Here is a 25,564-nt window from a genome sequence, read left to right on the forward strand (position 1 = left end):
CTACTACTGGCTAGGGGCCTGGGAAGTGAAAATTGCCACCAGCACCATCCTGCAAAGCAGAGAACATTCCATTTACTCCTCCTTGCTTCCTGGGTGCCAGCACCCCCATCTTACCCAAGCTAGACCCTAAGGAACCTCTAGTTTCTCCTTCCCCTCACCTCCTCATGTAATTTCTCCCCAAATAACATCACATTTGCCTGAGCTCTGCCTCTCAGATCCCTGCTCTCCTTTACTCCTGTCTCTTCATTACTCCTTTCTCACCAAGACAGTAACAGCAGCTTCCATCCTTGTCTCTTTCCTGTCAACCTATGTGACTGCTAATGCTATTCAACTTTCTACATCTTAGATTGGGTTCTAACTGTCCTTTGACACAAGCCTTCCTTTGAGATGTGATTGAAAGTGATGTCTGTTACTTCTGGCAGAGCCTCAAGGGCCTGTACTCGCTTTGCCATGATCCTTTTTCCCTCTGCCATTGTGACTGACCATGTTCCTGATGAGGCTGCCACATGAGCCTGAGGAACAGAGTGGTACCACCCCACAAGGTCCACATAGCACAAGTGAACTACAATGCTTTATTTCAGTAACGCCACCCGTGTCTTGGAGCTCTATGCCCTGAGTGATTCAGGAGGTGGAGAACAGCTCTGGTTGCTTCCTTCTTTAAAGAATATCATTACTTTCCCAAGCTAATGCATGAATTAGAATCTAAAATATAGGTCAGGCACAGTGGCTCATGCCTATAATACCAGCACTTTGGGAGGCCAAGGCGGGAGTATTGCTTGAGCCCAGGGATTCAAGACCAGCCTGGACAACACAGAAAGACACCATTTCTGTTACATAAATAAATAGATAATCTGAAAAATAAAACAGGAATGCTAAGAGGCAATGTTGTATAATAATAATTTTTGTTTAATGACTGGCCTTTGTCCCAGGCTCCTGGGAGGGCAAATCTAAATCCTTGGAATTTCCCACATAGTAGGAGTGTCTTTGTTTTTCAAGAGGCCCTGGATTGGACCACACCTGACTTTATGCTAATGAAGTGGACCATGGTGGTTCCTAGATAGCCTCAGGATGGGGCTGGTCATGCTAGAAAGACCAACCATGTGATAAGAGGGCTGGGACTTTGAGACATGGAATATCAGTCTGACTTCCCATCCTCCAGGGAGGGAGAGAGCTTTAATAATAAAGCTGTAATCAAAGGTATAGCATTTGCCCAAGTTCTGTGAGTTGTTCTAGTGAGTTATTGAACCTGAGGAAGACCATGGGCACCCCTAGATTTTTGGTTGGTCAGTCAGAAGTAGGGGTATTGTTGTTGTGGGTCATGTTCTTTAATCTTTGGGGTCTGTTCTAACTCCAGGAAGTTAGTGCCAAAATTGAATAGCAATATACCAATTGGGGTCAGAATCGCTAGAAAAATAGGTTAGGTGGTGGACTTCACTGGGACATCCAGGCAGAGGTGGTGCCTTGGAATGAGGAAGTGGAGACAGAATGATATGAATAGGTGAGATCACTTCCACTGGAGTCCAAGCTAAGTCAGCTTCTTAAATCGTTCACATTCCCACCTCCTCACAGCCAAATGAGACCATTTCCTGCCCAGAGACTGGTTTCAGCTGGGCATCAATTTCCTGAACAGGGAAACCTACCAAACTTCTCACCTCCCAGAGAAAATTGTGCCCTCACATGGAAGATGAGGAGAGCCTGCTCCTCTCATTCCAGCGGCTCTCTTCTGCTGGCATTCTTATTCTTTGCACACGTTTTACAATTCACAGTTACCGGAGGTGGCAGGTCCCAAAAGTCTCTTAATTTGTCTTCTAGAAACTTCTAAAAGCACACTCAAACATCAGGACAAAAGGGAAAAGTGTCCCCCTAGGATAGTTCACTGCTATTACATAAGTTTCAAAAATGGACTACCTAAAAGATGACTCAAACTGAAAATGTAATTCACTGATATGGTCTGTCTCTGTGTCCCCCACCAAAATCTCATCTTGAATTGTAATCCCCATGTGTTAGGGGAGGGACCTTGTGGGAGATGATTAGATCATGGGGGTGGTCCCCCCATGCTGTTCTTGCTATAGTGAGTGAGTTCTCATGAAATCTGATGGTTTTACAAGGGCTTTTCCCCCTTCACTCTGCACTTGACTCTTCTGCCGCCATATGAAGAAGGACAAGTTTGCTTCCCCTTCTGCCATGATTGTAAGTTTCCTGGGGCTTCCCCAGCCATGAGGAACTGTGAGTCAATTAAACCTCTTTCCTTGATAAATTACCCAGTCTTGGGCAGTTCCTTATAGCAGCATGAGAATGGACTAATACAGTTAATTGGAACCAGGAGGTAGTGGGGTGCTGCTATAAGGATACCCAAAAATGTGGAAGCAACTTTGGAACTGGGCAATAGGCAGAGGTTGGAAGAATTTGGAGGGCTTAGAAGAAGACAGGAAAATGTGGGAAAGTTTGGAACTTCCTAGAGACTTGTTGAATGGCTTTGACCAAAATGCTTATAGTGATATGGACAATGAAGTCCAGGTCTCAGATGGAGATGAGGAACTTGTTGGGAACTGGAATATGCTTTATTTTGCCCCTGCCTTAGAGATCTGTGAAACTTTGAACTTGAGAGAGATGATTTAGGGTATCTAGTGGAAGAAATTTCTAAGCAGCAAAGCATTCAAGATGAGGAAGAGCATAAAAGTTGGAAAATTTGCAGCCTGATGATGCAACAGAAAAGAAAAACCTGTTTTCTGGGGAAAAAGTCAAGACAGCTGCAGAAATTTGCATAAGTAACAAGGAGCCAAATGTTAATCACCAAGACAATGGGGAAAATGTCTCCAGGGCATGTCAGAGACCTTTGAGGCAGCACCTCAAATCACAGGCCCAGAGGCCTATGAGGAAAAAATGGTTTTGTGGGCTGGGCTCAGGGCCACCCTGCTGTGTGCAACCTAGGGACTTGGTGCCCTGCCTCCCAGTCAGCTCCAGCTGTGGCTAAAATGGGCCAAGGTACAGTTCAGGATGTGGCTTTAGAGGGTGCAAGCCCCAAGCCTTGGCAGCTTTCATGTGGTGTTGAGCCTGCAGGTGCACAGAAGTCCAGAATTGAGGTTTGGGAACCTCTGCCTAGATTTCAGAGGATGTATGGAAATGCTTGGATGTCCAGGCAGAAGTTTGCTTCAGGGGCAGAGCCCTCATGGAGAACCTCTGCTAGGGCAGTGCAGAAGAGAAATGTGGGGTCAGAGCCCCCACAGAGTCCCCACTGGGGCACTGCCTGTGGGAGCTGTGAGAAGAGGGCCACCATCCTCTAAACTCCAGAATGGTAGATCCACCTATTGCTTAGGCTGTGCACCTGGAAAAGCCACACACACTCAACACCAGTCCATGAAAGCAGCAGGGATGGGGGCTGTAGCCTGCAAAACCACAGGGGTGGAGCTGCACAAGGCCATGGGATCCCACCTCTTGCATCAGCATGACCTGGATGTGAGACATGGAGTCAAAGGAGATTATTTCAGAGCTTTAAGATTTAATTACTGCCTCATTGAATTTCAAACTTGCGTAGGGCCTGTAGTCCCTTTGTTTTGGCCAATTTCTCCCATTTGGAATGGGTGTATTTACCCAATGCCTGTACCATCATTGTATCTAGGAAGTAACTAACTTGCTTTTGATTTTACAGGCTCCTAGGTGGAAGGGACTTGCCTTGCCTCAGATGAAAGACTTTGGATTTGGACTTTTGGGTTAATGCCAAAATGAGTTAAGACTTTGGGGATATGGTGGGAAGGCATAATTGTGTTTTGAAATGTGAGAAGGATGAGATTTGGGAGGGGCCAGGGGCAGAATGATATGGTCTGGCTCTGTGTCCCCACCCAAGTCTCATTTTGAATTGTAATCTGAATTGTAATCCCTGCATGTTGGAGGAGAAACCTTGTGGGAGGTAATTAGATCATGGGGGCTGTCCCCCACCATGCTGTTCTCATGATAGTGAGTTCTCACGAGAGCTGATGGTTTTATAAGGGGCTTTTCACCCTTCACTCTGCACTTCTCTCTCCTGCTGTCATGTGAAGAGGGATGTGTTTGCTTTCCCTTCCGCCATGACTCTAAGTTTCCTGAGGCCTCTCCAGCCATGTGGAACTGTGAGTCAAACCTCTTTATAAATTACTCAGTCTCAGGTACCCAATCTCAGATATGCTGCTTCATAGCAGCATGAGAACAGACTAATATACTCACTTTAAAAAAAAAAATTTAGATGAAAAAACAGTGACATCTATAATCCAGTGCCTAGTGAGCAAGGTTCAAATGAGCTTAGCAAAGTTCTAGGAAAGGATGGCTGGAGTGGGAAAAGGCTAATAAAAAGAAGCAGGACACAGTCCTCAAGGCCTCAATCATCTATTACAGAGACAAAGTTTATAAATGGAAAAAGTACTGCAAGGCAAGCCGTGATTCAATTTCCAAGTGGGTTAAACAGATCAAGTCTCAGTTTGGTGAAGAATTAAAGTAATGAAAGAATAGAGCATTACACAGAAGTCACAATTGTCATGAATGGGTTCTTATCAAAGAAAAAGATTCATTTGTTTGATTTTTCAATTAGGTATTTTAATTCTGTACTTCTAACCTACTGAAATTGCACCAAAATCCACATCCCTTTGTTCTCAAAAAACATCTGGCCATACCATAGTCAGGATGGCTGGGCCACCACACTTCCCCAGCAGGCAGGCTAAGAGCTCTTAAGGACAGGTTTTTTCAAAGGCAGCAAGAGGACCATCCATCCCCTCAGCCAGCCAAGGCTGTTCCTCTTTGCCTCCTGAGAATCTGTTTTTGTAGCACTTGGAAGCATATACTAGATACTCAAAAACCAGCCCACTGCAAGTCAAGAGTAGAACAATACCAATATGACATCATCGGTGCCGAACGGAGTGGCCAAAATAGTTAAGATATATTACAGAAATCTGTATTACCAGGAATGATGTAGAATTCTTTGAGTGTAGTGAGAATGGGGGTGAACCCACAATTTACAAAAGATCCTACCTTCATTTAAATGCACTTGGTTAGGAGGATCCCAGCAAAGCTACTAGGGAAGGACCCAGAGCCACAAGCACCTGTGGGCCAGGCTCCCAACTGGCCCTGCTGGTGGCTGTGTGTGGGGTTGCAGCCCAGCCCCAGCAGTACTAGGCAGGGCACATGCAATGGTGCATCTTAGGTCTACGTGGGCTGTTGATCAAGAGCAAGGCCCAGCCGTCTGCAGCAGAAACGGAACAGGAAGCAGCCTCTGGGGAACAGTTTTTATTTTATTGTTTTAGAGACAGGGTCTCACTCTGTCACCCAGGCTGGAGTGCAGTGGTGTAATCAAGGCTCACTGCAGCCTTGACCTCCTACACTCAAGTGATCCTCCCGCCTTAACCTTCCAAGTAGCTGAGACCACAGGTGCATGCCACCATGCTGGCTAATGTTTTAAATTTTTTGTAGAGATAGAGTCTCACTATGTTGCCCAGGCTGATCTCAAACTCCTAGGCTCAATGATCCTTCCACTATCTCAGCCTCCTAAAGTGCTGGGATTATAGGTGTGAGCCACTGTGCCCAGCTAATCTGGACAAGATTTGAATCAGGGCTTCTGTGGCAGGAATAGTGTGGGAGGGTTTCACTTCCTCTGGGAACTCCTCTCTGGATTACTACCCTTCCCCCATATCTAGGTTAGGGTCACAATGAAGGCTCCTGCAGTGTCCTGTTCTCACCTCTTCTTCTATTACCCTGCAATGGAATCATCCATGTACCCATCTATCTCCCCAGCTAGAATAGGTACACCTTGGGGATAGCATCTGTGTCTGATTCATCTTTGTATGGAGCAAACAATATCTGGCACACAATGTGTGCACAGGAAATGTTTGCTACTGTTATTGAATGTGGATTGCAAATCAGGGAATCAAGACCCCATTGGGAGCATGTAGGGCCATTTGCATATAGGGGAGCTTGTTGTCCTGAGACCAAGTGTGAGACTGGAGTCTCAACAAGCAGATGAGACCTCAGCTGCTGCAGAGATGTAGCACAGAGCCCACCTGCTAATCAGGGTGTCTTAGAAACTCAGAGGGCTAAGTTCGTGGTTGGACAGTCAGTATGGTCCCAGATATCAGAGCCTGTAGTTGCATGGGGGGCCAGGAAATGTTACAAGCTGACAATTTTATAAGAACACTCATTTTCAGGTGTTCACTGTCCATTCAGTATGAAGACTTACTCTGAGAAGCAGAGTTGACACCGGCCACCATCAAGCAATAAAATCTAAAATCTAAGGCTGCCAACATAGTGATGGTTCTGCCTTCCCCTATCCTCTGGAGGGACAGAGAGGAGTTCAAAATGCCTCCCTAGTACTCAGTGTTTTGTGACTCAGAGATGGTGTTTATTGCCTGCACACTCTTCTAAGCCTTCTGAATATCCATGCAGCCCTTCCTCCCAGCTCAACCAGAGCAATTGACTGATGCACTGGTATAACCATCTCCGGTTACATGTTTACTATGCCAGGGAGAAAAGGAATTCTTATCGTAAATCACTATTCCTTGCAAATGTATTTGCCAGAATCAAAATAAAGCTAAAGTTAGACACAAAATGGGATGGGACAGAAACTTGCCCAAGCAAGGTCAGAGAAATAGGGGGAAGAAGAGGTCTCAGCATCACTTTGAGACTCAGGACAAGACTTTTTCCATCCGCCTCTTGTAATTCTGGGTATCAGTGAGCCCAGTTGGGAATAAACAGCCCCGAGATCAGTAGTGGCTACTGGGTTTTTTCTTGTAGGCCTGGGGGCAGTGGGACTGCGACAAGGCTATCCAGGCTTGCCTGCTGCCTGCTACCAGCAGGGATTGCAAAGCAAGTCCATCAGCCCAGGGCATGGCTTCCACGGTGAGAACCGGGAGGAGAGCCCATGCTTGCAGAGCAAGTTCTTGGTGGCAAGCACCAACCTCTTTCAGAGAAACTTGATTGATGGCAGCACCCTACTCATATCCAAGAGACGTTTCTGCCTGTCGGCACTGATGACCCAAAGCATGCCCTGCTCCTATGGCCAGGAGGTGGACCCCGGGTCTGCCACCCTCCCCTTCCCTCTCCTCTGGGCACAGGCTGCGCTTCCTTGCCCTTCCTGTTGTGGAGAGTTGGTGGAAAATGAGTCCTCCCCCATGTCAGAGCTGAGAATAACAGATCACATAGTTTTCTTTTAGCTGCTCCTGTCTTCCAGGTCATGTTCTAAGTGACTTACAAATCTCATCTCAATTCATGCCCAGAACCATCTTATGAGGTCCACTGTTGTCTCCATTTCACAGACGAGCAAACTGAGATGCCCCCCACTCCCAAACAAAAAAATCCCACAGTGGTGAGTGGTGGAACCAGGCTGGAACCCTGAAAGCTGACTCTGGGCTCACATTCTGACCCGCTTTCCTCTCCTTGGGGAATCCACAGTGGGGGTGGCTCTGGAGCAGGCAGGATCACAGGCAGAGGCTCTCCGTGTTTTTCTTCACCTTGCCTACTTCAGGAGAGAGCTGAAGGAGGGCCCGGTGAGATGCACAGAGCCATGCTGCATTGTGAGTGGGCTCAAAGCCTCTCACAAATAGTACAACTCCAAGTCAGACAGCAGCTCCGAAAATCGAAAGGGCCGAGTTGATACAGGTTTTGTTTCATTTTGTTTTACCCACACTTCAAAACATGTCCTGCCCCAGTGGTCGCGTTAGCATCTGTCATTGTTGTGTTTCTTTAAAGTCGGGCAATGTGTTAACTGAGCTGAAGGATTAGTCATCTGTCCCTAAAGTGAGATGGCTCCCTGGATCCTAAATGCACTTGAAACAGACAATCCCACATGCAACCAAGAATAGGAAACGCTGCATGGCAAGGGTTAGTGGTGCAGAGAGATTGCAAGAGTCAGAGAGCACATGTGTAGAAAACAGGGAAAATGAAAATAAGAGAGAAAAGAGACTAAGAAAATAGGAAGACATAGATATTTACACAGATATGTAAATATCCACTTCCCCATGATATGTAAATATCCACTTCTCATGGACATTTAAGATGTGTCTGTATGTGTATTTGTTTGCTTGGGCTGCTGTAACACAGTACCATAGACCAGGAGGCTTAAACAACAGAAATCTATTGTCTCATACATTTCATCTGGAGGCTAGAAGTCCAAAATCAAGGCATCAGCAGAGCTGGTTCCTCCTGAGGCCTGTGAGAGAGAATCTGCTCCACGCCGCACCCCTTGCTCCTTGTGGTTTGCTAGCAGTCTTTCGTGTTCCTTAGCTTGACGATGTATCACTCAATCTCTGCCTTCATCTTCATGTGGTGTACTCCCTGTGTGTGTGTCTCTGTGTCCAAATTTCCCCTTCTGATGTGGACATCTATCATATTTGATTAGGGCCCGCTCTGATGACCTCATTTTAACTTGATTACCTCTGTTATGACCCTGCCTCCAAACAAGGTCACAATCTGAGGTTCATTAACATATAATTCTTGAGTAGAAACAATTCAATCCATAGCAGCTTGCATTTTTCTCACATGTGAGAGGGATCTTAGCCTGTGACTTTTAAAAGACACAAAACAAAGAAAAACCTTGAAATGCATCTATCAGGTGATGAAATGCATCTATCAACCGCTAGCTGTGGGACCTAGTGTTCAAGTGAAGAGAGGTGGAGGTATTGATCCTTTTACATTAAACCCAATTTGCTGTGTGCTCCATTTCATGACAGACTTGCTCAGTGGGGCCAGATGCATTGTAGTATTGCCCCTATTTTCTAGGCAAGACCCATGTTATGAAACAACTCTTGTCTCTGTCTCTCTCTCCTACCTCTTCCATTAGAAGATGATGATGGCCCTCATTCGCTGAAGACTCGGGGCTAGCAACAACTGAAATAAAATAAAATAAAACTATTTTAATGGATGACATAATAGGTGGCTCCTTTTGAAGGGGAGGACAGAGTATGGACCCTGGTGCTGAACTTATTGGGTTCAAATCCCAGCTCTGCCATTGAGCAGCTGTGGAATGTGGAGGAAATTCGCAAACTCTCTGTAGCTCAGTTTCCTCATTTGTCGTAAGGGGTGAAAAGAGAATCTCCCTGATGGAGTTGTGAGAAATAAATGATTTAATGTTTGTATATCCCATGAACCACAGCCTGAAGCCTAGTAAGCCCTATGTAAATATACTTAAATTAAAACCATAAGAATTGTAGAGGAAGCTGACTGCTTTTAACTGCATTGGAATCCTTTTTAAAAAATAACAAACTCAGGCCCACTGGTACACTGTGAAAGTCACAAGACCTCAACGGCAGCGTTTAAGGAGACATTTGTCTCCTGCGGCCATGGGGCAGACTGGAGTGAACAGCAGGTCCAGGGTCAAAGCCTCAGCATGGCAGAGCTGTGAGAGCTGTAGGGAAGACTAATCTGCATCTTCATAGGTTTTCTATGCCAAAGTCAGGGCCCTGATGAGGAAAAAAAAAAAAAAAGTGAAACCCTGAGACTGTAACAAGAATATTTGATTGGACAAGCCTAAGAATTTCAAGTCCCTGTATTGTACAAAACCCAGTGCGCTGCCAGAAGCAGCCTCATCCTCCTTTGCAAATGAGAAGAGTGCCCCTGTGCCTGGAACTGAGCAGCGAGAGGTCTTGCCTGAGGCAGGTGGCCTCAGGCAACCTTGCATGATGATGCTGGCCCTCCTTAAGATTCCCTTCTGCCTCCCATCATTGATTCCAGTACCAAAACTTGGGCAAGGTCTCAACACCACCTGAATGGAAAAATAGAGCCCTTGCTCCAGAGTAAAGTTTACATGCCAAGGGAATTGTAGTCCTAGCTGATAAATACTACCAAGACCTGGGGAAATATGTGAAAATAGATGTCGAGGGGTTTCAAATCAGAGCAAGGAGAACATCAGGCTGGATAGGGGAGGACTGATTGACATGGGAGACCTCCCACGTAACTTGGGATCCAATGTTCTAACCAAAACACCTGGAGCCAGTCCCACAAGTCTGTTGAGATGCCTCCTTGAAGATCTGACATAAAGGAAATGTACATGAAATGAGGCAGAGCTACCACCATCCTTATCATACCATCAAGGAAAGTGCAATCAGCTCAGACAGATAAGGTTGTTAGAGTGGATTTACCAAGTTGGACGTGAGAAAGCACTCTTGTCTATTTCCCCAGGGGAGACTAGAAGACACACCCTTCTCCAAGATCATAAGGAATGCACTGGTGATGGCTGTACTGATATCTCACAAGCCTGAAGATGGTACCTTTTTAGATATATGAAAAAACAAATTTATTTCTTATAGTTCTGGAGGCAGGGATGATTGTCCATTTTAGAGCAGAGTTGACAGTTAAAGATGATGTCATAGAAATGGACTCCCTAATATCAGTAAGCATAATGGGATCATAGAATTATGAGGCTAGGAGGCACTCAAATCTCAAATGAAAATTGAATGTGATTACCCTAAAGGACAACAAGACTGGAATAGCCATCAGTGTGCCGTGACTTGTGGACACATATCGTAAAGGCTGTTGGCTATGTTGGAGCTCAGAAAGCAATACCCCAAAATGAAGGCCTCAGAAGCGAAAGTTTTCCTCTGACATTCTCCTGCCCTCCTGCCTCTCAGTCTCATTCTCCCCCAAGGTTAGACAGAGAAACTAGAACCCCTCTTCCCCAAGGCAGGTCATAGAAACCAGAACCCTTTTCCCCACAGCCAAAGCCAGCCATAAAATCTAAAAATATGACTCTAACTGCCTCTGCCACCACCTGCCTTTCTGTGTAAAAACTAGCCTTAAAGAAATTATCTGACCTACCTTGTTTGAATGTAGGTCATGAGACGCCCCCATTCCAGAGACAGCCCTGCCCCACCCCAAGAAGGAAGGAATGCTGTGCAGAGACAGCAGGAAGAATCTAGACAGACAGGCCTTGCTGGGTGTCCCACTGGGTCTGTTAGCATCGGATCATATCCTTTTTGTCCAATCATATTTCTACACAGCTGTCCATAGTTTGCTAAACATAAGCTTAAAGATGGATAATTTCCCCTGTGTCTTTGGGTCTTCATTTTGAAGTCTTCATGTCATGTAAGACTATGATGAAATAAATTTGTATGCTTTTTCTCCTATTAACCTGCCCCTTGCCAGTGCTTTTCAGTGGACCCTCAGTGGACACAGGGGAAGTTTCCCCTTGGCCCCAGCAGCTACCAGATCATGGTGTTCTCCTAACATGGATAGTCGACTAAGGTGGTATTCAACTTTGCATAAAAAAGATTGAGCGTTGGTCCTTTATTCAATTTTCAGATTAAAATGCTTAACACACCTAGAGTCGACTGACTGAAGAAGAGTCCGGGTTTCTCTGAGGAAAGACTTGGCAATACCATCACAAATAATCTATAGTAAACATTCCCCCAAGTCTTTCCCATGTGATCCGAGAACATTTGCCAAAATCACAAGCCCTGGGAAGAGAGTCTGGCCAGATCCTTCCAGGACTATTAGACATGGGTCGGAGCTGACACTGATACCAGAACTGAAACGCCATCATCATCCTCCAAGTAGAGTAGGGACTAATGAAGATCAATATAATTTTCCCCAAATTTATCTGTCTTCAGGAAATACTGCCCAAGGTAAAGGACAAGTTATTGCAGCTTGTACTTCCCACGGCTAAGAAAGAAGCACAGTGCTTGGTAGGATTCTTCAGGGTTTATAGGCAGCATACATGGCACTTGAAAATACTTCTCTGGCCCATTATTAGGTGACACAGAAGGCACTCAGTCTTGAGTGGGTCAGTGAGTAAGACAGAGCCCTGCAACAGGTCCAGGCTACTTGGGCCATATAACCCACCAAAACCTAGAAGATCTTATCATACTGAAGGTATCTTTGATGGACAGTAATATCATGTCGAGCCTCAGGAAATCTCCGATAGGACACTCACAGCACAGACCCCTAGAGTACTGGAATGGGGCCTCTGCCTGCTTTTTGGCGAAAATTAGGCCTTCAAGTTAGCTTCAATGAGCAGTCCCTGGACAGACTCAGAACAGCTCAAAGGCCACCAAAGGTTAGAAACTGGAAGAGCCTTGAGAAATAGGCCGATTATGTTCAGAGAATTTTGCACCATTCAAAAGACTGCCCCTAGCATGCTATTGGACCTGGGTAGAGACAGAGCATCTAATCATGGGACATCAGGTGACTGTGTGAATGGAGTTGCCCATCATTAGCTGGGTACTGTGAGATCCACCAAGCCATAAGGTAGGGTGGAACAGCAGCCCATCATCCAATGAGAGTGCTACATCTAAATACTGGCCCCAAGCAGGTGCAGAGGTATGAGTAAGCTGCACAGACAAGTGGCTCTGGCTCCCAGGTCATTGTCCCTGATGCACCAATGCTTCCTCCTTAGCTTATACCTATGGACTTGAATAGCATGTCCTATGACCAGCTGGCAGAAGAGGGGAAAAAATTAGGCCTGGTTCAAAAACAGATTGGCGTTACATGTCAGTGAGAGCCTAAAATGGATGATTGCTTTACCGCAGCCACACTGAGGGATGATATCAAAAGCCTGCAGTGAGAGGAGATTCTCCCAATGGCCAGTGCCATGGGTCAGCCACTCTGGGTGGAAAAAGAGACAGCCTGGGATAAGGATATGCCTGAACTCCTGGGAAATAGGAAATGGTTTGGTTGGTTGGTCAGCGACCTGGAAGAAGCAATATTGGAAGATTTGCACAAGGGGATCTGGGTAAGGAGCTGTAGATGGACCTCTGGGACTGGGCACAAGGTGTAAGGATCTTGGTGTTTCATGTTAGTGTCCACTGAAAAGCATCCAATATATAAGAGGCACTAGGCAACCAAATGGACTGGCACATTCAGCCCATGGGTATCAGACAAGTTTGATCTTCAACTACCCTAGTGCTTATACAATGGGCCCATAAATGGAGTCGCTATGGTGGCAAGGATGGAGGCTATGGAGGGCCCAACATCATGCATGGGCTCTCCCCAACTCACAAAGCTGATCTAATGACTGCCACTGAATGTCCAGTCTGTCAACATCAGTGTCCAGAAGAGTCCTCCAGATGATACCATCCCTGAAGAGACCAACCAACCACTTGGTGGCAAATGGATTACATAAGACACCTTCTACCTGGGAAAGGGCGGTGATTCATTCTGTTCTAAATTGGCATGCATTCCAGGTGTGAATTCACCTTTCCTGCCCTCAGTGCCTCAGTAGCACCACTAACCAGAGACCTACAGAGTGTCTGATTTACCAACTTGAGATCCCATATAACATCGTCTTAGGCCAAGAAATCCACTTTATGGCAAAGAAGGTATAGGAAAGGGCATAAAACCACAATATTCACTGATCCTGACACATCCTGCTTTCTCCAGAAGGTGCCAGCCTGAGAGGGCCTTGGATCAGGCTCTTGCAGGAGCTGCTGAGGCACTAACATTGTGAAGCTGGTGTGTGGTCTTTCAGGATGTGGTATATATTTTAAGCCAATGGCCATTGTCTGATGCTGTTACTATTTTCCAATAAGTAAAGGGACAGGCATTATCAGATTTACACTTTAGATAGATTATTTCAGCAGTAGTGTGGAATATAGATTTGAAAGTGGGAAAAGAATGGAGGCTCCTTTAGCAACCAAGAACCAAGGGGCGGAGGGAGAAGTGGTCCCACTCATTATCATCCCCAGTAGTCCATTTGGGGAGTTGTGCTTCTCATCCCTGTAACTTAGGTTCTATGATTCTAGAGATCATGAGTCCCAGAGCAGGAACATAGTAAGAGTCCCACTAAACCTAAAGATATGGCGTCCACCTTAGATTGCACCTATGGACTTGACAGCATGTCCTATGATAAGCTGACAGAAGAGCATCTTTGTACAGAAGATCAGCAGGTAAATAAAAGAGTTACCATCTCCTGGTAATCATTGGCCCACGTTGTTATGAAGAGATGGGACTGGAGCCACACTAAGAAGGAACTCACGGGATCCACTGGTGTTACTGTTGCTTGCTACACAGAAAGCTAATCACTGAGACAAGCCAGGGAAGAAGGCTTTATTATTTTATAGGTGACATCAGCTGGAGAGATGGGAGCCAAACCTCAAATCTATCCTGCCGTGCCCCCTCCCCTCAACTAAAGTGAGGGATTTAAATATCAGGAGGGACAAGGAAGAAGAGTTGGTCAACCAGCAGCCAATTCCTTTCATTGTACAAATGTAAGTTTCTCAAGCTTCAGTTCTGTGGGCATCTGGCTTGTTGGAAAACTGGGCTGATTTCACAGGGACGTGTCTAGGCGTTCTCTCACCTAGTTTTGACTGGGAATGGGCAAGTGCAACACCACAGCCTGATGAGAGCACGGCAAGTAGGGGTGCAGACCCCTCGGGGGTAAAGGTCTGTCAGGCCACCAGGCAACCCACGGAGAGCAGCAGAAGTGCAGGAGAAGGAGGCAGGGAATCTACAGCGACGGCAGAGGCGGGGCACAATAAATATCAGTTACGGTGTCAGGAGTCATTTCAGCAGCAGAGGCTATAACTTGTCCCACTAATCTTCCTCCTTTAAGTATTTCCTTAGGATTTGTGACAAGCCACCATCTTGAAGGAGCCCCGACCAGGAGGAGTGAGCTTGGTGTGAGATGCAAGCATAGCTGAGCAGTTGCAGGGGGTGGATTGTAGCTGACCCCACTGGTCCTCTGCTCAGGTCCCCTAGGACCCCTCTGACTGTTTGTGAGCCCATTACACAGCTTTTGCATGCTCTTGCCTGCAGTGGCCCATACATGCTACTTGTGAGCTATTGGAGAGTTTACCTGCATCCCACCCACACCTGCCACGAGGCGACCCTTAGCCGATGCCTGATGGGTGCCAAAGTGTAAAAACCCAGCTCTCTTGCTTGAACGGAAACAAAACTGAGATGTGGTTTGCACTCCAAAATTGCTCTGTGGGCTCGCTGCAGCTGGAACTTTGGATGCAAATCCTTGCTTGGCTTCCTCCTTCCCTTCCCACTTCCAACATCCCTTGCTGGTTCCTCTTGGGACCTGTGCCCTCATCAATCACACACCCCTGAGTCCTCCTCTCAGAGGCTGCTTCTGATCTCAAACAGCCTCTGCTGTGTGCTGGGCCATGCTCCTAAACGTGGCTTTCCCCAGCCGCACCAGCACCAGCTCCTGAGGCACTCCATCAGCCCGGCATCGTTGCACACTCCTGGCCCGAACCCCCTTATTCTCATGCCCCAATCGTAGGCCCCCTCGGGGTTCTTGCTCAAGCTGACACCCCGCCGGGAAGGCTTGCTCTCTTCTCTCCTCAACTCAGTCCTCATCATCCTGCTCTCTAAAGCCTCCTCCCACGCTTCTGATCCCAAGTGGCTTCCACGCCTCTGAATTCCTGTCACATTCATATCCAAGACCACCCCCAAACAGTGTAACGTCAGCATCTGTGGCAGAGGGGAGAGAAGCCCCAGGAGGTGTCGTCTGCCTGCCTTTTGGTGCAAGCTGGTGTATGAGTCGATCAGGCTGAACCGAGCACCACTGACCGGGCAGCTTAAGCACAGCTTATTTCCTCGCGACTCTGGAGGCGGGAAGTCTGAGACGCAGGTGCCGGCAGGCTCAGTTCCTGCAGAGACCTGTCCGCGGCTTGCAGACGGCCATCTTCCGTGTCCTCACAGGGTCTTCCCCATGTGTGTCTGTGTCCTCATTTCCTAGTCAGATTGGATGAGGGCCCACTTTAATTACCTGTTTGAAGACACTATCTCCAAATACATTCTGAGGTGCCGGGGGTTAGGACATGTAAATTCTGGGGGATACAACTGAGCCCGCACATCAGGCTCTGGCTTGAGCCTCAGGGAGCATCCCTGTGTGACTCCGAACTGCTCAAGAGCGTGGGGGTCAGGAACTGGGGGAGCGCTTAGGAGTGGACCTGATCACTCGCTCAGCGGTCCCTCTCCCCCGCTTGCCCACCTTCCTTCCCATAGGTGCTGACTTCAGACAGACAGGACTTGACTCCTGGCTCTGTCTCCCGGATCGGACGCGTGAGAGGCTACTTAATCTCCCTGGGCCTCGATTCCCTCGTCCATGAAATGAGGGTGATGCCCTCTATCTTAGTGAGCCCCAGAGAAAGACACTGGTGTGAAGACGCCGGCCTGGGGCAAGTGTGCACCAGGGCCCCGCTGTTTCTTCCCCCAGGGCGACTTCCAAGCCTGCGAATGCCGGCTCTTGTTTGGGGACTCCCACAAACGTTTACACGGGATTTGGATAACCTACAATTCTTGACTTAAGCTTCATTAGGATTTTAAACTCCGAGGGGAGAGCTCATGTCTGACTTTCTTCGTATTCCACCGAACAGGGCCAGGGCAGAGAGGCCTCTCTGCTTGTGGACTCTGGTCCCTGCACTTCAGTCCTGTTGTCACCAGACATTATCTCAGCAACCACAGACACCTCAGGGAAATCCGCCCTTCACCGCGAGCCAGGAGTGTCCTGCCCCAGACTTTCCCACAGGGCCATGACCACCCTGGAAGCACAGCGCTGCTCAGTGGGCTGCGGTCCTGGGCCCTTATCTCATCAGCACACAAGCCCGTTATTCAGCCGTATTTACATAACCCTTCCCTCCCGCCTGCCTCCCACCTCCAGCTGCTCCCTGGGCACAAAGCTCCGGTTTCACTTAATCAACCATGCAGTCTGGTGTCCCAGGTAACAAGCCATCCATTTGTGTTGGCAGCATTTGAAGGTGAGGGGCAGATAACCCTGAGCCCTGCCAGTGGCTCCGCTGACAGCACTGGGAGTCCTGGGCCACTTCCTCAAGCAATACATCCAGAGCAAGGGTTCCTCTGGGAACACAAAATCACTCCCTCTGTGTCCAGACTCACATGATAAGACTTCTTACAGCAGCTCACTTTCCTCTGAGGACAGAACGCAGGACAACCAGGGCACCTGTCTGTCTTGATGGCATCTTCCCCCACACGCTTTCCATGGAGCAGCAGCAGATGACAACCTTCACCATGCACAAACGCCATGCCCAGCCCTTCACACGCGGTGCACAGTGGCTCACACACTGTGGTGCATCAAGGAGCATCTCACACGGGGTGTTGCACAGAGTACCACGGAGTATCACACACAGCATCACACACAGCACCACACAGAGAGTATCACACACAGCATCACACACAGTATCACACACAGCATCACACAGAGAGTATCACACACAGCATCACAGAGCATCTCACACAGGGTGTTGCACAGAGTACCACAGAGTAGCTCACACACAGCATCACACACAGTATCACGGAGCATCTCCCACAGGGTATCACACAGAGTATCACAGAATATCTCACACAGCATCACACAGAGTATCACAGAGCATCTCACACACAGTATCACACTGAGTATCACAGAGTATCTCACACAGAATATTACACACAGTATCCCAGAGTATCTCACACACAGTATCACACAGAGTGTCACAGAGTAACTCAAACAAAACATCACACACAGTATCCCAGAGTATCTCATACACCACATCACACACAGTATCACACAGAGTATCACAGGGTAACTCAAACATAGCATCACACACAGTATCCCAGAGTATCTCACACACAGCATCACACAGTATCACAGAGTATTTCACACACAGTATCACAGAGTAACTTCACATACAGCATCACACAAAGTATCTCACACACAGCATCTCACAGAGTATCACAGAGTACCTTACATACAGCATCACACACGGCACCACACACAGTATTACACAGAGTATCTCATACACAGCATCACACATCATATCTCACACACTGTATCATACATATAGTATCACGCAGACTATTTCACATAGTATCTCACTTAGTATCTATCTCACATATGGTATTACACAGAGTATCTCACACAGTGTTACACATATTCTCTCATACCTAATATCCCACACATAGCATCATGCATAGTATCTCAAATAGTATCACACAAAGTATCATCCACACAGCATCTTCACAGCCCTGTGAAGTGTTAAGTGCTGTTCTCCCTATTTCACAGATGAGGACACTGAGGCTAAGTGTCTTGTCTTAGGTTCTAGCTGGCAAGTGGTAAATCCACTCTGGCTGTAAAACTTGTGCCCTTGAGCACCTCACTCCCATGGTGTCCAAGTGGCTCAGCTGGCCCAGAGCCACACTGGCTCAGCCCTCAGAACCAGGCTGTATCCCTGGAACTCTGCTTCCTCAGAAATCCCCCTTCGTAAAGCCCACAGGTAATGATTCTGGCACATTACTAAGTTTTGGGGCCACTAGACTAGACAGTCCCTAAGGTTCCTGCCATCCTTAGAAGTTCTCTGGCTCTGAGAGATTTTAAGGAGAAAAGACAAGTCATGTTAAGTGAAATAAGCAAGGCACAGAAAGACAAATTTTGCATTTTCTCACTTATGTGGAGATAAAAATTTTAAAACTTGAACTCACGGAGATAGAGGAGAATGATGGTTGCCAGGGGCTAGGAAGGGTAGTAGTGGGGCGGGGGGATAAGTGAGGATGGTTAACGAGTACAAAACTATAGTCAGATAGAATTAGTAAGATCTAGTATTCAGTACCACAATAGAGTGACCATAGGTAACAATAATTTATTGTATATTTTAAAATAACTAAAAGAGTGAAATTAGAATGTCCTAACACACAGAAATGATGAATGCTTCAGGTGATGGATACTCCAATTACCCTGACTTGACCACTATACATTGCATGCCTGTATCAAAGCATCACAGGTACCCCATGAATACAAGCAACTGTTATGTACCCATAATAATTAAAAACAAAAAGTTAATTTGAAAAAGAAAGGACAAGTCAATACCCGCAGCCTTTCCCTTGTGTTGAGATGGCTGGTGACCACCCCCTCCCCGTGCCACTTGTATCCTCTCAGCCACTCTCCCCATCACGTGAACCATCTGGCTTCGCAGGAGGACAATGAGCCCCTCCGAGGAAGGCAGGCTCTGGATCCCTGGTGCTCAACTTCCTTCCAAAGCTCTCGGCCTTCAGAGCCAGAGATGGCCTGAGGGGAAGGGGCCTCAGCAGCCATGTCATTCCTCCCCAGAAAGACTGAGGAGCACAGAGGTGAAAGGCCTGGGTACAGCACCTCCGAAGGGTTAGGGTATCGCTTCACTTATAGTCCACATCCTCTGGGCCTAAAAGTGGGAAGGAGGCATTTCAGCTCAGGGTCAAAAACACACCTGTCTTCATTCTGACAGGTCGAGTTGATCTCTGACATGTCTAAAGCACAATCCGAATATAAAAATAGGAGTTTTGGGAGATGCCTTTAAACAGGAGATCAGTCCTGTCTTGCAAGATATCCCCACCCAGGCCTACCTCGGAGATCGTGCATGTTCAGTTCCACACCACTGAAATAAAGAGAGTATCACAATAAAGTGAGTCACCAATTGTTTTTTAGTTTCCCAGTGCAATATAAAAGTTATGTTTACACTATGCTGTAGTCTCTTAAGTGTACAGTAGCACTGCATCTTAAAAAAATGTAAATATCTTAATTAGAAAAAGCTTCCTAGGTGTGGCGGCTCACATCTGTAATCCTAGCAATTTGGAAGCTGAAGTGAGGGAATCGCTTGAGGCCAGGAGTCGGAGACAGACTGGGCAACATAGTGAGATGCTGTTTCTTAAAAAAAAAAAAAAAAAAAAAAAAATTAGCCAGGCGTGGTGGTGCACATCTATAGTCCTAGCTACTCAGGAAGCTGAGGTGGGAGCCCAGAGGTTCAAGGCTGCAGTGAGCTATGATCATGCCACTGCACTCCAGCCTGGGTGACAGAGCAAGACTTAGACTCTTAAAAAAATAAATAACAACAACAAAAACTTTATTGCTAAAAAATGCTAATGATCACCCGGGTGCAGTGTCTCACTCCTGTAATCCCAGCACTTTGGGAGGCCAAGGTGGGTGGATCATGAGGTCAGGAGCTCAAGACCAGCCTGGTCAAGATGGTGAAACTTTGTCTCTACTAAGAATACAAAAAAATTAGCCAGGTGTGATCGTGGGCGCCTGTAATCCCAGCTACTCGGGAGGCTGAGGCAGAGAATTGCTTGAACCCAGGAGGCAGAGGTTGCAGTGAGCCGAGATCATGCCCCTGCACTCCAGCCTAGGCAACAGAGCGAGACTTTGTCTCAAAAAAAAAAAAAAAAAAAAAAAAAGCTAATGGTCATCTGAGCCTTCAGCGAGTCATAATCTTTTTGCTGGTGGAGGGTCTTGCCTGGGTGTTGATGAAGTCATAATTTTTTTGCTGGTGGAGGGTCTTGCCTGGATGTTGATGGCTGCTGACCGATTAGAGTGGTGGTTAGTGAAGGCTGGGGTAGCTGTGGCAATTTCTCAAAATAAGACAAAAATGAAGGTTGCCACTTTGATTGACTCTTCTTTTCGCGAAAGAGTTCTCTGTGGCATGTGATGCTGTTGGATACCACTTTACTCACAGTAGAACTTCTTCCAAAATTGTAGCCAATCCTTTCAAACCCTGCTGCTGCCTTATCAATTAAGTTTACATAATATTCTAATTCCTTTGTTGTAATTGCAACAATGTTCGCAGAATCTTCACTGGGAGTAGATTTCATCTCAAGAAACCACTTTCTTTGCTCCTGCATAAGAAGCAACTCCTTACCCACTGAACGTTTATCATGAGATTGCAAGAATACAATCACATCTTTGGTCTCTACTTCTAACTCTAGTTCTCTTGCTATTTCCACATCTGCAGTTACTTCCTCCATGAAAGTCTTGAAGCCTCAAAGTCATCCATGAGGATTGGTATCAACTTCTTCCAAACTCCTGTTAATGCTGATATTTTAACTTCCTTCTATGAATCACAAATGTTCTTTTTTTTCTCTCTCATATGTCTTAACTGTGAAAACAAATGTCCATAATGGCATCTACAATGCTGAATCCCTTCCAGAAGGTTTTCAGTTTACTTTGCCTATATCAATCAATCAGTCATTATCTATGTCAGCTTTTGCCTTACAAACTATACTTCTTAAATAATAAGACTTGAAGTTCAAAATGACTCCTTGATCCATGGGCTGCAGAATGAATATTATGTTAGTTGGCATGAAAACAACATCTCCATCAGCTCTTGGGTGACTAGGCATATTGCCAATGAACTGTAATATTTTGAAAGGAATCTTTTTTTCTGAGCAGTAGGTCTCACCAGTAGACTTAAAATATTCAGTAAACCACGCTGTAAACAGATACGCTATCATCCAGGCTTTGTTGTTCCATTGATAGAGCATAGGCAGAGTCAATTTTGCATGATGTTTAAAGGCCCTAGGATTTCCAGAATGGTAAATGAGCATTGGCTTCAACTTAAAGTCACAAGTTGCAATAGCCCCTAACAAGAGAATCAGCCAGTCCTTTGAAGCTCTGAAGCCAGACATTGATTTCTCTATAGCAATGAACACTTTAGATGGCATTTTATTCTAATACAATTAGGGTGTTTAATATATGTTGAAAATATGCTGTTTAGTGTAGCCACCTTCATCAAATATCTTAGCTAGTTCTTCTGAATAACTGCTGCAGCTTCCACATCAGCACTTGCTGCTTCACCCTGTACTTTCATGTTATGAAGATGTCTTCTTTCCTTAAACCCCATGAGCCAACCTCTGCTAGCTTCCATCTTTTCTTCTTCAGCTTCCTCACCTCTTTCAGCTTCATAGATTTGAAGAGAGTTGGGACCTTGTTCTGGGTTAGGTTTTGGCTTAAGGGAATGTAGTGGCTAATTTGCTCTTCTATTAAACCACTCAAACCTCTTTGTATCAGCTTTCTTATCATTTGTATGTTCACTGGAGTAGCACTTTTAATTTCCTTGAAGAACTTTTTCTTTACATTCACAGCCTGACTGTTTGGCACAAGAGGCCTAGCTTTTGGCCTCTCTAGACTTTTGACGTGCTAAGCTTCATTATTTCTAGCTTTTAATTTAAAGTCAGAGAGGTGCAACTTCCATTCACTTGAACACTTAGAAGCCATTAATAGAATTATTAATTGCCCTAATTTCAATTGTGTTGTATCTCAGGGAATAGGGAGGCCCAAGGAAAGGAAGAGAGATGATGGAATGGCCGGTGGGTGGAGCAGTCAGAACACACATACATGTTGATTAAGTTCCCTGTCTTATATGGACATGGTTTGCGGTGCCATGAAACAATTACAATAGTAACTTCAAAGACCACTGATCACAGAGCACCATAACAGACATAAAAATAATGACAACTTTTGAAATATTGGGAGAGTCACCAAAATGTGACACAGAGACATGAAGTGAGCACATGCTGTTAGAAAAATAGCACCAATAGACTTGCTCAACTCAGGGTTGCCACAAACCTTCAGTTTGTAAAAAACACAGTATCTACCAACCACAATAAAGCAAAGCACCATAAAACAAGACGTGCCTGTAAATGGTGCCTTCTGCACTCACTCTGTCTGAGCAAGTGTACGCAAGCTCCAGGGCCAGCAGATCCTGTGGATTCTGCAGTTTCTATGGAGGGCCCTTGGGAGCCCTTGGGCATTGGAAGAACCTATGAGGACAGCTACTAAGTCATTGAAATCCTTCTCCCCCAGAGCCCTCTGTGGGCACAAATAGGTGTGGCATGTCCAAGCAGCAATAGTCTCCAGTTTGGGCCATTCCACAGGGACCATGTTCAACCAAACCACACCACTGAGACAAAGATGAGAAATCTCAGGTGAGTCCATCTGGGCCAGGGACCTCCCCTCCATAACACAACATCAACAAAAAAAAGCATGTGCTGCTCCCCTGGGACGAACCCTACCTCCAAGAAGGAACAGCGTTGCTGTAAAATGCTTGGCCTCAGAACCATGCCCAGTGCTGGAGCGCCCACCACAGTAGACACAGAAGCTGGAACATCAGTCTCTGTGGACATCCTTTTACCCACGAGGAAGGAGAGGTGCAGGAAGCTGAGAAAGGGCAGCCTCTGGTACACACTGTCTCCTCATTCCCTCCCTTGGTGTTGGCCCCTCCTCCTGTCTCTAGTCTTTATAGGTTGGGGATCTAAGCCTCTTCCCCTCCACTCATTGTGGGAAGCCCAAAAGAAATCTGCCAGTGATGCAGGGAAGGAAGCTGTCGGGACTGGTAGAGTCTATGCTGAAGAAGGGCCTCCTGTTCCACGTGATTTAGCAAAGTTCCAGAGAATGGCACAAGAGGCCAGCACCAAAGTCTTGCCGTGTAATAAAGTCCTCTTGTCCTTGGAACTGCTCCCTGGGTTCATCTCTCCCAGGAAGCCCAAGGAGTTGTCCATTGGACACATGAGGGGGGATCCATGGTCAGTCAGTTGCTTTCATTTCCCAACACACATGGGGAATTTCTCTTAACTCATGACTTTGCAAAGTAACACTGTGATAAGGTGAACAGAATTGAGTTCACATTATAGCATAAAATTTCAGCAAGTTATTGAACAACTAGGCTAAACATAGAGAACTATAGTTGCACTTCAATTTCAGCCCCTGCACATACAAAACTGCATTGCAAGCCTATTTCTGTTATCCCCCTTGGCCTTCGGCCACTGACCCAGCCCTGGTTTGTCCAGGCATGTCACTTTTTCATCTGGCTCTGTCCTCTATCTAGTCAGGATCATCTTCTATGTCTAGGGTCAGGCTGGCTGAAGAAACTGTTAAGTTCTCCATTGTTTTAGCTCAGAATTCAGCTGTGGAAGTACAGAACTTTCCTTCATAACCACACTACATCGTCAAAGCAGGAGCACAGTGTGACTGCTGGTGGTCCTGCACCTGCACAAATGACGACAGTCCTGGAAGCTAAATGCTCTGTGCTCCTCTGAGTGTGCATTTCTGTGAATCCCCAATGACACAGCCACTGCTGGAGAAAAGGCTGTGGCTGACACACAGCATGGTAGAAAGAGATTTACAGACCTTGTTGGCGCCGAGAAGGGGGAAGTACATCCTACTGCCGATGGCTCCCTGGAGGACCCGCCTGCGCCAATCAGAAGTCTCCTATCCGCGATGGTTTCCTGTCTCTTCCTCAATGTCAGTCTCTTCCTCTCCACCCTCCACCCCCAGCTCTAAAAACCAGAGCCAAATAGCAACTGCCCTGGAAAAAGTGCTGTCTTCCCAAGGTTGTAGGTTTACCATTTCATGCTCAGTTTAAAGTGCCTGAGAAGTACAGGAGGAAAAGTCTGTTAACCAGACTACATGAAGAAAAATACTGAGGAACCATAGGTACCCATTAACTGGTTTAACAAGAAAAGATTTCTAGCTGGGCACGATGGCTCATGCCTGTAATCCTAACACTTTGGAAGGCCGAGGTGGGAGGACTGCTTGAGGCCAGGAGTTTGAGACCAGTCTGGGCAACATAGCAAGAATCCATCTCTATAAAAATAAAAGAAAAGTTGGAGGGAGGGAGGCCAATGGGCAGGATTGGGCAGTGGGTCTCCAGCCGAGCTCCTGGGTCAGCTGCCTGCTAGAGGGGCTGGCGGTAAGGGAGGAGGACTGAGGCCAAGGGTGGGTCTCTGGATCCTACCCTCACTCTGCCAGAGCAACCCCACATACATTGTTTTCTGTGTTAGGATACAATATCAGATCTCTTTTAACCAAGAAGTTTCACTCCTAAAAACAGGGCAGAACGGGCACTGGTGTTAGAGGTGATCTTGAATCAGCTGAGACCTGGAAGTCATCTTCCTTTCTTCATTTGCTAAATGCCTAATATGAGCTGTTTTTCTTATCAGTTTCCCTTCTCTGCAAAAACAGTCTTGCATAGAAAAGATTTGAACCAACTGGGGGCAAGTGCTCAGTAGCGATTCCAGCATCTATAGCCCTGACTATGCCAAGTAATGGTCTGACTGCTTCCCCTGGGGCCTCCCACTACCCCAGCAGCCACCTTCCTACTGTTGGTTTTATTGATAAACTGGGATAGACAGCCAGGAGGAAATAATTTCTGCTTCTGCGAGAAGCCCTAATAGGCCTTTACCCACCCTCAATAATCACTCACTTGCAACACTCGCCGGCATCTTATTACAACTGGAATTCCAAGGAAAACAAGAAATGCTCACTGAACTCATGGATAAAGATTTTCCTGATGAACTGAGGACTTCTCTGCTACCCCTGTTTATTTCTCTCCTTCTCCTCCTTCCGGCCTCCCACCAGCTCCTACTGACTTCATCCCATGCGGCACATGGACCTGCTACCAGGTCCCAGGTCTTTCTAAAATTCAGGAAGAGCTCTGGCTGAACCCTTCTGAGTTCATGGGGACAGTGACACCTGCTGCTTTTCTGCTGCAGGACAATGGTTTGTTCCCTCATTCTATCAGGGAACATATTTTGGGTTCCTACCAGATGCCAGGTTCTGTTTTAAACACCACGGACACAGAGATAAACACACACAGGTTTCCTGCACTAAAGCCAGTTATCATGTGGTAAGGGAGACAGACAACCATAACACAGAGTGACAGATGCAGAAGGCAGGCAGGGTGAGGGGTTGGGGCAGGACCCAGAGATGGGGCATGCCACCTAGATAAAGAGACAGGCATAACCTTCCCAACAAGCCACTCTGCAGCTGTATCCTGGACACCCAGTGGCTCTGGCAAGGGATCACAGATGGTTTAAGACATTTCACTAACTTAGATTGGGGGTTAGTGGCCTGCAGACCTGTACACTT

The 25,564-nt window shown here is 46.6% G+C and overlaps 1 long non-coding RNA gene across 3 annotated transcripts in view; it reads right to left on the reverse strand.

Moving 5' to 3' along the window:
- Positions 1-22,866, reverse strand: part of LINC02815 (long intergenic non-protein coding RNA 2815) — a 67,626-nt gene extending 44,760 nt beyond the window's left edge. For all 3 annotated transcript variants that reach the window (NR_186725.1, NR_186726.1, NR_186727.1), the window contains exon 1: positions 22,711-22,866. This is a non-coding gene — a long non-coding RNA (long intergenic non-protein coding RNA 2815). The remainder of the gene's footprint in view (positions 1-22,710) is intronic.
- Between the last annotated feature and the right edge of the window lie 2,698 nt (positions 22,867-25,564).

This window comes from Homo sapiens, chromosome 1 (genome assembly GCF_000001405.40).
Source record: "Homo sapiens chromosome 1, GRCh38.p14 Primary Assembly".
Classification (NCBI taxonomy): domain Eukaryota; kingdom Metazoa; phylum Chordata; class Mammalia; order Primates; family Hominidae; genus Homo; species Homo sapiens.